Raw genomic sequence first — 13818 nt, 5'->3', positions numbered from 1 at the left:
GACCCATCGTAATCACACTGTTGAAAAGCAAAGATAGGATAAAGAGAGAGAGAGGTAAAATTAAGAAAAAAACAACAGTAGATTTAGCATCAAAATTATGCAAGCCAGAAGACAATGGAGTAACATCTTTAAAGTACTGAAAAGAAACAAAACAAAACAAAACAAAACCTGTCAACACAAAATCCTATGCTGAGCAAAAGTATCTTCCAAAAGTGAAAGAGAAACAAATAGTTTTTTCAGACAAACAAAAACCAAAAACTCATTACCAGCAGATTTGCATTACAAAAAGTATTAAAGGAAGTTCTTCAGGTGGAAAAATAAGATACCCAAAGAAAACTTGGATTTACACAAAGAAATAAAGATGACTGAAAATGGTTAAAATAAAGGTACATATGAAAGGGTCTTCCCCTTATTTTCATTCCCTCTAAAACATAATTGATTGTCTAATATGAATTACTATTGGGCCTAAGGAAGAAATAATACTAATTCTATATAAACTTTTTTAAAAAATAGAAGAGAAGAACTATTTCCCAACTCATTTTATGTGGCCATCACTATTCTGATACCAAAGAAATTGAAAGAAAATAACAGTACAAATTAACATAGACACAAACATCCTTAAGAACATATTAGCAAACAGAATCTAGTAATATGTAAAAAGGATAATATATCATGACCCAGTGGGCTTATACTGGGAATGCAAGGCTGGTTCAACATTTAAAACTTAGTTAATATAATCGCAATATCAGCAGATTAAAGTATAAAAACAATATGACCATTTCAATATATGCAAAGAACATTTGACAAAATTAAACATCCATTTATGCTGCATACATGCTCTCAGCATCCACACATGCTCTTAGCAAAGTAGGAATAGGATGGAACTCCTTAACTCAATAAAAGGCATTGACAAAAAACTTACAGCTAACATCATACTTAATGATGAAAGACTGACCACTTACCTTTAAGATAGGGAATGAGTCAGGGATATTTGCTGTTGACATTCTTGTTCAACATTGTACTAGAGCTCCTAGCCAGTGAATAAGGCAAGAAAAATAAATAAAAGGCCTACAGCTTAACAAAAGACAGAAATGAAACTATTTTCAGACAGTATGATTATCTACATAGAAAGTCCCAATGAATCTATAAAAAAGCTGCCAGAATTAATAAGGGAGTTTAACAAGGCTGAAGGTCAAAATACAAAGTTCAACTGTATTTCTATACATGAGCAATGAACAATTGGAATTTAAAAAATTTTAAGTTAAGTACCCTTTAAACTCACACAGAAAAACATGAATTATGTCCAACAAATTATGTTCAAGTTCTATATGCTGAAAACTACAAAACATTGATGACATAAAGTTAAACAGAAAAATGTCCCTTGTGTATAGATTCTAAAACTCCATCTTGCTAAAATGTCAATTATCTTAAAATTGATCCATAGATTTAGCACAATTACAATTAAAACCCTAGCCACATTATCTTGTAAAAATCAACAAGCTCATTCCAAAATGTATATGGAAAACAAATGAACTAGAGTAGCCAAAACAACATTGAAAAAGACCAAAGCTGGTGGGTTCACTCTACCTGATCGCAATACTTAGTATAAAGATACAACCAAGATAGTGTGGTATGGCAATATAGATAGATAGATAGATAGATAGATAGATAGATAGATAGATGAGAGAGAGAGAGAGAGAGAGAAAGAGAGAGAGATTGATTAGTGGTACAGAACAGAATAGAGAATTCAGAAAGACCCACACAAATAGTCAACTGATTTTTGACAAAGGTACAACAAAACTCAATTTAATAGAGAAAGGATATTCTTTTCAACAAATGGTGCTAGAACAACTGGATTTCAATATGTGGAATAAAAGAAAAACCAGACCCCATATCTCACACCATACATAAATGTTAACTCAAAATGGACCACAGACTTAGGTCTGTGCAGACTTAGGTCGCATGCAAAATGCGAAACTATAAAACTTGTGGAACAGAATATAGGATAAAATTGTTGTGCCTTGAGTTAGACAAAGATTTCTTAGATATGACACTAAAAGAACAATCCATTTAAAAAGATTGATAAATTGGATTTCATAAAAATTAAGAACTTTTGCTATTTGAAAAACATTAAGAGAATAAAGAGAATAGCCAAAGACTGGGAAAAATATTTGCAAGCACGTATTTGATAAAGAACTTGTATTCAGAATATATACTCTTAAAACTTAATATGTAAACAAGCAGCCCAACCAAAAAAATAGAGACAGACAGGGTCTTGCACTGTCACCTAGGCTGGAGTACAGTCGTACAATCTTGACATACGGCAGCCTCAGCCTCCTGGGTTCAAGTTATCCTCCCACCTCAGCCTCCAGAGTAGCTGGGACTACAGGTGCACACTGCAATGACCAGCTAATTTTTGTATTTTTTTTTTTTTTGTAGAGATAGGGTCTCACTATATTTCCCAGGCTGGTCTTGAACTCCTGGCCTCAAGTGATTCTCCTGCCTTGGCCTCTGAAAGTGCTGAGATTACAGGCATAAGCCACCATGCCCACCCTACCCAATTTTAAATTTGGGCGAAAGATTTGAGCAAGTACTTCATCAAAGAAGATATCCAGATGTTGATAACATGCAAAAAGATGCTCAAGATCATTACTCATTAGAGAAATACAAATAAAAATCACAATAAGATACTACTACAAATTCATTAGAATGACTAAAAAAAAAAAAAAAAAACTGAACAATACGAAGTGCTAACAAGAATACAAAGTAACCAGAACTCTGAAAAATGTCTAGTGGTAATGCAAAATATTGCAGTCACTTTGGAAAACAGGTTGGCTAAAGTTAAATATATGCTTGCCATATGACCCAATGTCTTCGCCCTATTTACCCAAGAGAAATGAAAAATTATATTCACCAAAAACCTGTCCATGAATGTTTATAGTGGCTTTATATATAATTGCCAAAAACTGAAAACAAATTGGGTATATCTATATAATGGAAAACCAACTCAGCAATAAAAATAAGTACTTGATACACAAAACATTGATGAATCTGAAAACGCATGCTGAGCAAAAGAAACCAGACACAAAGAATCCATCCTGTTTGATTCAAGTTATATGAAACTTTAGAATAGGCAAAACTAAGCTATAGTGACTAACAGTAGGTCAGTTATTGTCTGGGACCAGGGATGCCAGTAAGGAGCTCAAGAGAATTTTTGAAGTGATGGAAAGGTTCTCTATTTTGACTATGCAGGGAGTTAAACAGGTGTATAGTATATATTTGTCAAAACTCGTGGAATTGTGCACTTAAAATGGATGCACTGTATTATATGTAATTTCATACCTCAATGTATCTGATTTTTAAAATGCATTATTGTCTTTGGAAGGTAGGAAGGATTGTGGCCTTGAAACTGTTGTATTTAGCGCTTACATGAAACCACGTTCTCCCAGAGGGATATCACTGTCCCTGCAGCTTCCTGACCACAGGACTCTTTTGGCATGCTCCTAGCTACCTTTTGCTCCTATCAGAATCATTCCCTACCCTTTTCTTTTTCTATTAACTCAGTTCATATTTTATTATTCAAAAAATGGAAATAGTTTTTAAATGAAAAAGTGATACATATTTTCTATTAAAATGTAGAGAGAGAGAACATACTATTAATAAGCACATGTACCCTAGAACTTAAAGTACAATTAAAAAAAAAGAGAAAACCCACATATCACTGCATACAATTGACTTTCTCTTCCCAGACGTTCTTGTATTCCCTTTTTTAGACAGCTAATTTTAAAGTTAATTTTATCTCAGCTGAATATACAAATCCACACTTCTTTTGAAAAATTAAAAAGGACAGGAAAAGCCAGAATCCTCTTTGACCACTTAATGTCTTCCCCATTTCACCAGTCGAGATGTAATTATTATTACTGGAATGTGGATCCCAGCTCTTTTAAAAATAGTTTTGTTTGAAAATTTGTATTTTCATAGAGTCACACTTAAAAAAATTTTTAAATTGTATCTTACAGAATTTTCAGTGAAATCTTTAAACATATATTTTTCAGCATGTCACCTCTTCCTATCCCCCTCTCCCACTTGTCTTATTTCTCAGCCCCACATCCCAGAGCCCATGTAAACAACCTAGAGTGTACCCCTTTCTTTGTATCCATGTCATCATACATGTGATGTATATACACATATGTATCTTCACATATATACATATGTAGTTTTAATTTGTGTGTGTGTACATTTATACACACACATACATATATATGTATTTTTCAAAGATATTTTACCTTATTCAACTGTGTTTCATAAATTTCTTCAAGCCACTTGTTAGATTCTGGGGTTACCTGTTTTAATGGCTGCCTAATTTTCTATGATATGCTGTATATTGATACTTCAGTCCATAATTTCCCTAGTGATGGGGAATTCAACCATTATTATAATGCATATACCTCTCTTATAAAGTTTATCCTTAAATATTTTTTCCTATTTCCATTACTGAGTGCTTACTACTGGAGAGGAGGAGGCCTAGTGGTTTTTGTATATTTATCTTACATCCAGCCATCTTGCCAAAGTTTTCATGAATTTTAGTAGCAATTTTTCTGTATTCATTTTATTTTACTGCAGTCTTTTAAAATTTCTAGAAATAAAATCATCTTTGTCTTTTCCTCCCAATGTTTATGTCTTCTGTTATCTTAGTTTTTAGAAGGTTTAAGGTAATAATAGTGACAGCAGCACCCCTACAAGTTCCTTATTTTAATTGAAACAGGTTTTGTGTTTCACAATTTAGAATAATTAATGTTGGTTTGGCAAATATTAATAGTCTTTTGGTAAAGTGTTTTCTGTTTCAACATTCCATGGTGTTATTAGAAAGAGCTGCCATATTTTTCAAATACTTTATCAGCACATATTGTTATGGTCATATGGTTTTCCTCCTTTAGTTTGCTAGTATAATAGATGTTGACAGATTTCCTGATGTTGAAATGTCCTTGAATTCTTGAAAGAAGTCCTGCTTGGCCATATTAAATTACACTCTTGATATATTGTAGAATTCTACTAGCTAAAATCATATTTCAAATTTTTACATCTGAGCTCCTAAGTCTGTAGATATATTTTTTGTTTTATTACTGTATTGGGTTTTGACAGCAAAGCCATGTGTTTCATAAAACAGGAGAGCTTTCTTTCCATATTTCTCTATCATCTGGAATAGTTTAAATGGTGCTGGAATTATTAGTTAGATAAAACTCATTTGGATCCAGTCTATTTTTCAGTATTATATCTTTATTTATCATTTCAGTATCTTTTGTGATATTAAGTTTATCCTGGTTTTCCACTTCTTACTAGTTTTGGTAATTTATATTTGCTAAGAAATTTTCTGATTCCCCTGAATTTTTTGGTTTGTTGCCAATATTCATTCTTTTCTCTGTTAACTCCTTTCATATTCTTCATATTGTATATTTTTGCTCATTTCCCCTTTATTCAGGGGCACTTGTCCATTTTATTACTGTTTATAAAAATACAGCCTTTGGACTTATGTTTTCTATTCTATTGCTTTCAGCTTCTATTTATCAATTTCTTTTTTTCTAGTTTTTTTGGTTGCTATTTGCTACCTTATTAAGGAGAAAAAGTAATATATTCCTTCACCTCCCCCAAAAAAAATTCCATCTGAAGGCATTTAAAGCTTACATTTTGAGTACAGCTTTGGCTATATGCTATTAAGTTTGGGTATAATGTGTGTTTTCTGTTGCTTTTTGGCAGTTTGTATGTAATCTTTTTTAACTTTTCTCTCTGATCCAACAGAATGTTTCTTAATTTGTACACAGTTATAATATTTATAGCCACATGTTAATTATTTGTTTCTAAAATTTTTTGGGGGGGGGGCTGCTGGCCAAAATTTATTTGATTTTTATGTTCCATGAATATAAACCAAAAAAATGTGCAAACTCTATTCGAAGAGCCATCAGATCAGGTTATATAGAGCCATCAGATCAGGTTTACTAATTGCATTATTCAATTCTTCTATGTCTTTATTTTTGTCTATTAAATACATCTAGTTCTAAGAGAGGTATATTAATCTCTCTAACTGTATTTTTATTTTTTATCAAGTTCTCTGCATTTCTAGTGGCTTTTGATTTAAAGTCTTCAGTTCCTCTGATAATTGGGACATAAGAGTTTACTGCCACTGTATCTTCTTAATAGATTGTGTCTTTTGTCATGACATAATATTGCTGTGGAGTGTTTTTAACCTTAAATTCCACTCTGTCTGATACTGACATTTCAGTTCTTGCCCTTGTTCTTTGTATTTGCCTATTTTCTCTTTGTCGGCCCTTTATTGTTAGCCATTTTCATCACTTTAAGTGTGTTTGTATACACAGCACGTAACCGGGTTTTGTTTTTTCTAAACACATCTATTTTGTAATGATAGAAAATTCAACCCATTCATATTTAGATAATGGTAGATTCAATTGATCTCACTCCTTCTATCCTACTTTGTGTGTTATTTATTTTACATTGTTGTTTCTTCTTTTTCCTTCTAGTTTTTGCTGATTTGTTTTCTATTTTATTTTTTTATTTTTTCTCCATGAAACATTAAAACAGGAAAATTTGTTGTTCTCTAGCTTGGTACTGTCCTACCTCTTTTTTTAGTGCATTTTGTTGACTCAGGTAGGCACCTAGGTTAGAAGCCTCACTCCCACCCTCCCAGGCACACTCAACACTGACGCTGACATTTGTCACCAGGCTTGAACCCAGGGGCAGCAGGATGTATGGGAGATGGGGTTTCATTCTGCCACTCAGCAGCTATACAACCATGGGCAAATTATCCACCTTATTTGACCATTACAATGTAGATAGTCACGTGGCACAGGTGGGACTAAGCAGGGCATGTGTATGATCCACTTGGCATATAGTTGGTGCTCCTGTTCCCTGCTCCCTCTCTCCTTAGGCTCCTGGGCTGGGTTTGGGCCTCCCCTTTCTCTGAGCTGAGCAATCAGGATGAGGAGCATGGCCACGATGGCCGGCCTCATGTGTCTGGCTCACTTCTCTCAGGATTCCTAAAAGGGATTTCTCACATCAGCTTCCATTGGTCTTTCATTTCTGTGGGGCAGCAGGGATTATACTCTTCTCTCCTGCCCCTAAACAATGTAACGAGACACTGTGGAGTGCTGTCTGTGGACACACAGGAGGTGGGCCTGGAACCCAGTGCTCCTGCCTCCAGCTCCAGATAAAGGAATGCACCTTCGACTGTCTCCTCTAGGACCCCAGTGTAGCGGGAATGCCTTAAAACAAAGTTGTTAGTGTTGCAGCTTTTTGAAAGAACCTGTCTAGCTGGTTTTCTGGTTTTCACCGGAAGACCCATTTTACAAAAAAGATAAACTTGTTATATGCAGGAGACAGGAAATTGGAGGAGGGACCCAAGAAGGCCATGTCCTGGAGAATACAGCTTTCCTGGGGGCCTTGAGGAAGCAGCTAAGGGCCACTGTCCTTCATCCACGCTTCATCCCTTGCACTCCTCTTGGCCTGGTGTTTCTCTCCAGGGCTTCAAAGCTGAGGAATCCACTGATTCAGAGCATGCTGTAGCCGTCATCACCAGGTATTGGGACTTGCCCTCAATGTACTGGGTCTCAATTCTTTTGTATCCTCTCGTTTGTTTGGTAGAGAGAGGGGTGGAAAGTATTGTAGATGATCTATCTCTACATCTTTAGTTTTGTGATTGTAATGATTTCCAGTAGGCAAAACTTAAAACTCCTTGAGGGCAGAGGTCTGATACCTATTCAGACCCCTACTCAGGGGTCGTGGAATGCGGTTTGGCGCCTTCTCCCAGCACTGTTGATAACTGAGGGCAGCACCCGGGAGGGCCCCTTAGCTCCTTCCACCATCTGGGTCCTCTGATCCGCAGGACCTTTGGGGTTTATTCCCTGTCCACTCATGGGTTCTGTGTACCTTCTGCTGTTAATCTACACCCCTCTCCCGTCTGCTCTTCCATCTTAGTGCTCTCTTGCCACTTCATAAAAATGGTGCCACAAGCTCCCTGGGGACAAGGCAGGGACTTCTTCGCTGCTGGAGGCCCACGGCCAGCATTCATGCTGAGGGGTGAGGGTGGCAGGTGCGATTTGATGATATCCTCTCCCGCCCAAGCAAAACAACAGCTCTCCCAGACCCCAGACCTCCTCTGCAAGTGAAAGAACACCAAACAACTCTGTTCAAAACAGTTTATTTTATTTTATTTTTTTTTTTGTCAGACAAACACATTGATTTCTGGACCACAGTAGAGGATGGAAACCTTTCACAAACTTATTTATTTGAAAATACAAATATAAAATTATACTTTCCACATCTGTGATGTGAGAGACTGCCATCCACATAGTAATTTTTTACAACAGGGCTTTAAGAAAGCCACACACAAAGACCTGAAAGATGCTTGAGATATATATATAGATAGTACATATATATGTATATATATAAAAAAAATACTCACTACCAAAGTTCTCATCAGTTTCATACTAAAGTATAAAAGTAAGGGTGAGGTCAGCCACAGTGCTAGGGAAAGTTTTATTTAGATACATTTATGTCCACATGAAACGCTTAGACTTGCATCCTATTACATATGGAATTCGGAGTTTACAATACACCATGAACGGCAGATTGGCTAGCCCACGCTACTTAAGAGGACACTCACAGATTCCACATGGGATGGTACATTATGTACAGAATACAGTAGTAGAGAACCTTCGAGGGAGGCTCTGGAACTTTTGTCTCTCAGCCTCCGGCCCCCTCCCCCATCATGCCCCTGCCTCCCGGAACTGAAATCCTGTCTGAGACAATACATTCTGATTATTTGATAGCCAGGTGTTTGGATTAAGGTTGCCCCCCTGCAGGTCCCCGACAAGAGGGATGGATTTTATTTATATGTTTTTGTGTTTTAGTTTACTTACTTTTTTTTGGTAGAAAAAAAAGAAAGAAAAAGAAAACAAACATATTACAGTATTAAAGTATTGCTTAACTTCCAGCGTCTCCTTGTGTAGTGTCTGTGCCCAGGACGGGGCTGAGCTGACGTCTGCTAGTTTTCTGCTTTGGGGTGAGGGTGGGGAAACCCGCCAGTGTCTTTCTTCAATGTGCTTGCCTGCAGTCAGTCCCTCTGCTCTCCCACTGTCTGCCTTCCTTGGAAGATAGCCTGGCTTGCGAAGCACATTCAAGAAAAAAAAAAAAAAATCTCCCCTCCCCCACCAGCCCCCCACTCTCCCTCTGTTCCTGCGTGCCACTTGCAACCAATAAAGAGAAGTATGAGTTAGTGTTTCTTTTGTAAACAATTTCATATGCAATATAATACAGAAAGCATGGCTGACCTTCAATAAAAAATGTAGTAAACGATATTGCTTTATTCTTGAATATGCTGCAGTGAGTGAATGGCAGAATGAAGCAGTGTGGAGGTGGTGGAGGAGGCTAAGTCCCTAGCCCTCGTTTGCACTAAAGATCAAAATAGGTTTTGTTTTTCTATTTGGAACCAAAAATAAATTTTTTCCCCAAAAACCCCCAAATGAAAAGGAACAACAAGCAAAACCCACCCCCAAGAAATCAAAAACAAAACAAAACCAAGAACAAAAACTGAACACCTTTCAGGTCATTAGAACCAACAATTACCCAATGATTTTTATACTAGTCTAGCAAGATGTGTGTAACATTCACTGGCTGTGATTGCTGTGCAGTGAAACAGTAAATTGACAGCAATAGAGCCATGCTACCTTAAAGTCCAAGCTACAAGTTCAAATTAAGATGAAGGTTATGAAGGATAAAAACGCAAAGGCCTGCTGGGGCTTTGTTTGAATCAAGCTAATGGGCGACTGGGATAGAGCGCGAGGCTGTTTGGTATAGAGCGCGAGGCTGTTTGTTCCCAGTGGATATAAGGAAGGCCACGAGCCAAGTCTGTGGAAGCTGCTAGAGAGCAGACCAAGGCTTGGTCATCTCCGTCAGCCCCATGCCCAGCTAGGACCGGGAATGGGTCCGGGAGCTAATGCCACTCACTCGCCTCTGCTTGGGAGGAGAGGAGTTCGGGGGTCTCAGGCAGATGGATCTGGAAGCCAGAAAGTCACCCGGTGGCTGTTTGATAATTCCGGGGAAAAGCCATCAGCCAAGAGGGTTTCTCCCCCAGGGAAGGCGAAAGGTGGTTCCCATGTTCGCCATTGAGCTTAACTGAAACAAAGACGAGGCTGAAACATCAGTGTTAAAAGAATTTACAAAAATCTTTCAAAATGGACTTCTAGATGGAATGGGGGGACTAACGTGAACCTTAAACCTAGGTAGCCACATTAAAACATATCGGATTTCCACAAGATTTGTGCTATGGGCTACTGGGTCTCTTCAAAAGGTATATAAACATCTAAAACATATTCACACAGATTATCAATTTCTTCTGAGCATTCTTAAAAAAATATTTTTTCTCTTAGTAAAATCATTTTAATATACCATGCCTCCCTCTTTTAAAAAATAAATTAAAAAAATCCAGTTTTGCATATCTAGCATTAGCATTTAAGGTAGTATGGCACCCCTTCACAGTGGGTGGGGGGGGGGGGATCTACAAAACGCCGTAGAGTCCGCCGGCATTTTAACATGGTGAGACCTTGGGTTAGTTGAAACCACATCAGATCAGCTAAAATAAAATTAAACTTGAAATTGAAAAAAATAATTAAAGGAAAAAACTGCCCCAAAATTATTAGCATTTTTTTTCATAAATAAGAGAAAGTTCTATCCTTACTGGTCCTAAATCTGAATAACTATGTCTAATTTTTTTTAAACCTTAATTATGTTATACCTATCAATATGTACTAGAAGAAAGAGGAGAAAAAAAGTCGCTACACTAGTACCAGGACAGCACGCTTACAAGATAGCCATTTTATACATTATTAACATACAATGATCAACAAAGAGTCTTCTATGAGGTGATGGGGGATGCAGAGAAAAGGAAGGGAAGTACAGTACATCACCAACATGGACAAAATAGGAATTAAATTCCCTCGTCTAAACACTGAATTTCTGGGAATTTACTATTTTTTCTTTCTTTTTTTTTTTTTAAATAAAACTTATGTTTTGTTGTTTTATGACTTGAACAAGTTTTGATATTTTAAAAGCGCTCAGCATTTAATCTGGTTGTTTGGGGGAAAAGAAAAGAAACAAAGAAAGGAAAAAAACAACAAAAAAACCTCACCAAACAACCTAACATTTTATTAGAAAAACAAAGAACATGATTTTTTTTTTAATTAAAAAAAATGTTGTTGCTGTTTCATTAGAATTGAAAACGGGTTTTTTCTTTCTTTCTGAGTTAGCATTTTGGAGTCTTTAGTTTGAAGATGCTTTTGCCCTACCATGTCTGTGAATGTCTACATTAGTCTACTTTGTTAGTAAAATTTATAAAAATAGGAGTGCAGCAGCTCTTTATAATAAATGTCGCATTCAGTGTCTCATACTGGCTGTGCCTTAAGTACCAAATTTATAAACGTAACAATTTAAAAAATATTAATAAAACGTCAATATCACATTTTAAAAAAGAAAAAATATATATCCACACTACAATATGTTTTAATGCCATCTATTGAGTTGTACTTCTATAGTTGCTGTTGCCGACCTATTACCAATATTTAAAAAAAAGTTAAATTAAAAAATATCCTTCATCATAAGTATCTTTCCCCAACCGAGGACCATATATTATAACAGCCAAATGTTAAACATGTGCAAAGAGGAAACTGTCAGTTTTTCCCACCAGTCACAGTGCAGTGATGTTTATACTTTTTATTTTTAAAATTCTGTTTACATCTACAATAAATTAAAAAAAAATTCTTCCATAGCCTCTCTGGTGATACTTGCAGCACTGAGGTATTAAAAAAAATATATATAAACCAAAAGGTTGCTTTCCTAATTTGTAAATAGAAAGTGAATGGAGAAAGGTTGTATTAATGCAGGCTTATCCACTCCTGGCCCATGGGCCCCCAGATGTGGGAGCAGGGTGGGGGGCAGGGGGAGAAGAGAGGCAAAGTGTCCTAGGGACCTTTGGAGGTGCTGAAATGATTGGACAATAGAAAATGATCAAATATTTAAAAATTAAGACTGAAAAAGAATGTCCCCCCCACCCCACCCCCACCCAAGCCAAACAGGTGTGCTTTGAAACTTTAAATATGTTAAATATTAAAATTGTAGCTTTGTTTTTAAAAAACATCTTGGGAAAAGCAGTTTTTCATATTTTAAATAAAAATCTAACTAGACGGTAACATTTGAAGCTGTGCACAGACAAGAGGTTAATAGGCTGGTACAACACTAATACAGTTCTTAGGTCTATCACACAGACAAAGGAGCTAAACAGTGCTCTAACTTGTCCTGGGGTGGTCCTGGCAGCTGGGCGATCTTCATCTCAGTAACTGACTTGGCCAACGTTCCCTTCCCGCCTCCTTCCACAGAGCATCAAACTGCCTGGGACCGACTCCCTCACAAAAATATTTTTGATTCTCTCTTTCTTAATAGTTTCTATGTAGTTAATGGAATTGTATTTACAACATTTCTTTTTTAGAATTCACAATTTCAAAAAACCTTATAATATCACCTCTTTCAACAGAAAAAAAGCACTTATAGAAAAGGAGGACACTCAAAACACTGTCGTCCTTACCTTATTGCCGAAAATAGATAGACTCAGATTAACAAAGAGACATCACAAAAAGAACTGCTAGAAAGTCTGTTAATTAGCTTACTACATCTCACTTCTTCTACAACGCAAAATAGAAAGCTCACGCCCACCTCCCGCCCTGCACTTCACAACTTTGCTTCAGTGTGTGCTAAAGTTCCACCTGAAAATTCATACAGTCTCAGAATTGGTACCAAAATATGGAGAGTCATATTACCATCTCAGCATCCTTTAAAAGTGAGAACAGAACCAAAACAAGCAAAAAAAAATGTTTTAAGAAAAAATAACTCCTTAATATAACAATTATACTATGGTTAGCTTTGAACTAGATATTAAAGCTATGTGACTACTGGACTAAGTCAAAATCACTACCAAATGTGATTCAAAGAGATTTAAAAGGAGAATGGGAAGAGAGGGAGGGAGAGGGAAACCATCAAGAAAAACAAAACAAAACAAAACCGAAATCATGGGTTATATACACATTTAAAAGCTGTTGTCTTATATTACAGCAGATTCGTGAGATGATGAGATGTAGTCAACCCTCGATCCGAAGTGAGCCATCTCTGGTTGGGATGGGGAGTGAGGCTGGTGGGGGTCCAGGTCTGAGGACATCACCTAAACAAAGGGCCACTCAGAAACTTCGCCCAGTCTTGCCTGGACATCCAGGTATGCTCTGCAGGGCAGGGAAGGCCAGGATGTCCAGAAGAAAACATAAAATGGAGGGGAGAGGGGAGGAGAAAGAAGTGTCAGACAAGTATGCGATTTCCTCCACTGTTTTAACTAGAGTTTCAAAGATGGACTTCACTGGACTATTGAATACGCACGAGAATCACCTGGCTAGAAGCTTACTGAGATCACAGGTTGGGAAATCTGACATCTAAACCATACCTGACACTGGGGAGAGGACAAGGCTTCAATTCTTTTGCTGATTTGATATAGTACCATAGGGTTGTTGAGGTAGTGGTGGGAAATGTGCTTACAGGGATTGCAGCCAGGTGGGCAAACTGCCCATTGACCTGAGATACCTTTTTTCTGTTTAAACTTCTGTTTTCAAAGCTAAATGTTAAAAAAACAAACAAACAAACAAAAAAAACCCCACAAACTTGCCTTTATTAGATACCCATCGATAACTTTTAAATGCAAACTTACACTAAAAG

The 13818-nt window shown here is 36.8% G+C and overlaps 1 protein-coding gene and 1 pseudogene across 9 annotated transcripts in view; one reads left to right on the top strand and one right to left on the bottom strand.

Annotated features, from left to right (window-relative positions):
* MSI2 (musashi RNA binding protein 2) overlaps nucleotides 1–13818 on the bottom strand; it is a 445731-nt gene that overhangs the window by 8699 nt on the left and 423214 nt on the right. For 7 of the 9 annotated variants that reach the window (NM_001322250.2, XM_005257015.4, NM_138962.4 and 4 more), the window contains one exon: nucleotides 8194–13334. The exons of the other annotated variants lie outside the window; for them this stretch is intronic. Coding sequence is in view for 5 of the 7 variants with exons in the window: in XM_005257015.4 (XP_005257072.1) it covers nucleotides 13293–13334 (42 nt within the window). In the remaining 2 variants the exon portion in view is untranslated. Of the gene's footprint in view, nucleotides 1–8193; nucleotides 13335–13818 lie in introns of those variants that run through there. 9 annotated transcript variants of the gene reach the window in all.
* Nucleotides 7291–7354, top strand: RNU7-134P (RNA, U7 small nuclear 134 pseudogene; annotated as a pseudogene).

Source organism: Homo sapiens, chromosome 17 (genome assembly GCF_000001405.40).
Source record: "Homo sapiens chromosome 17, GRCh38.p14 Primary Assembly".
Classification (NCBI taxonomy): Eukaryota; Metazoa; Chordata; class Mammalia; order Primates; family Hominidae; genus Homo; species Homo sapiens.
Note: the sequence above shows the minus strand (reverse complement) of the source record. Positions and strands in the feature narration are given on the sequence as shown.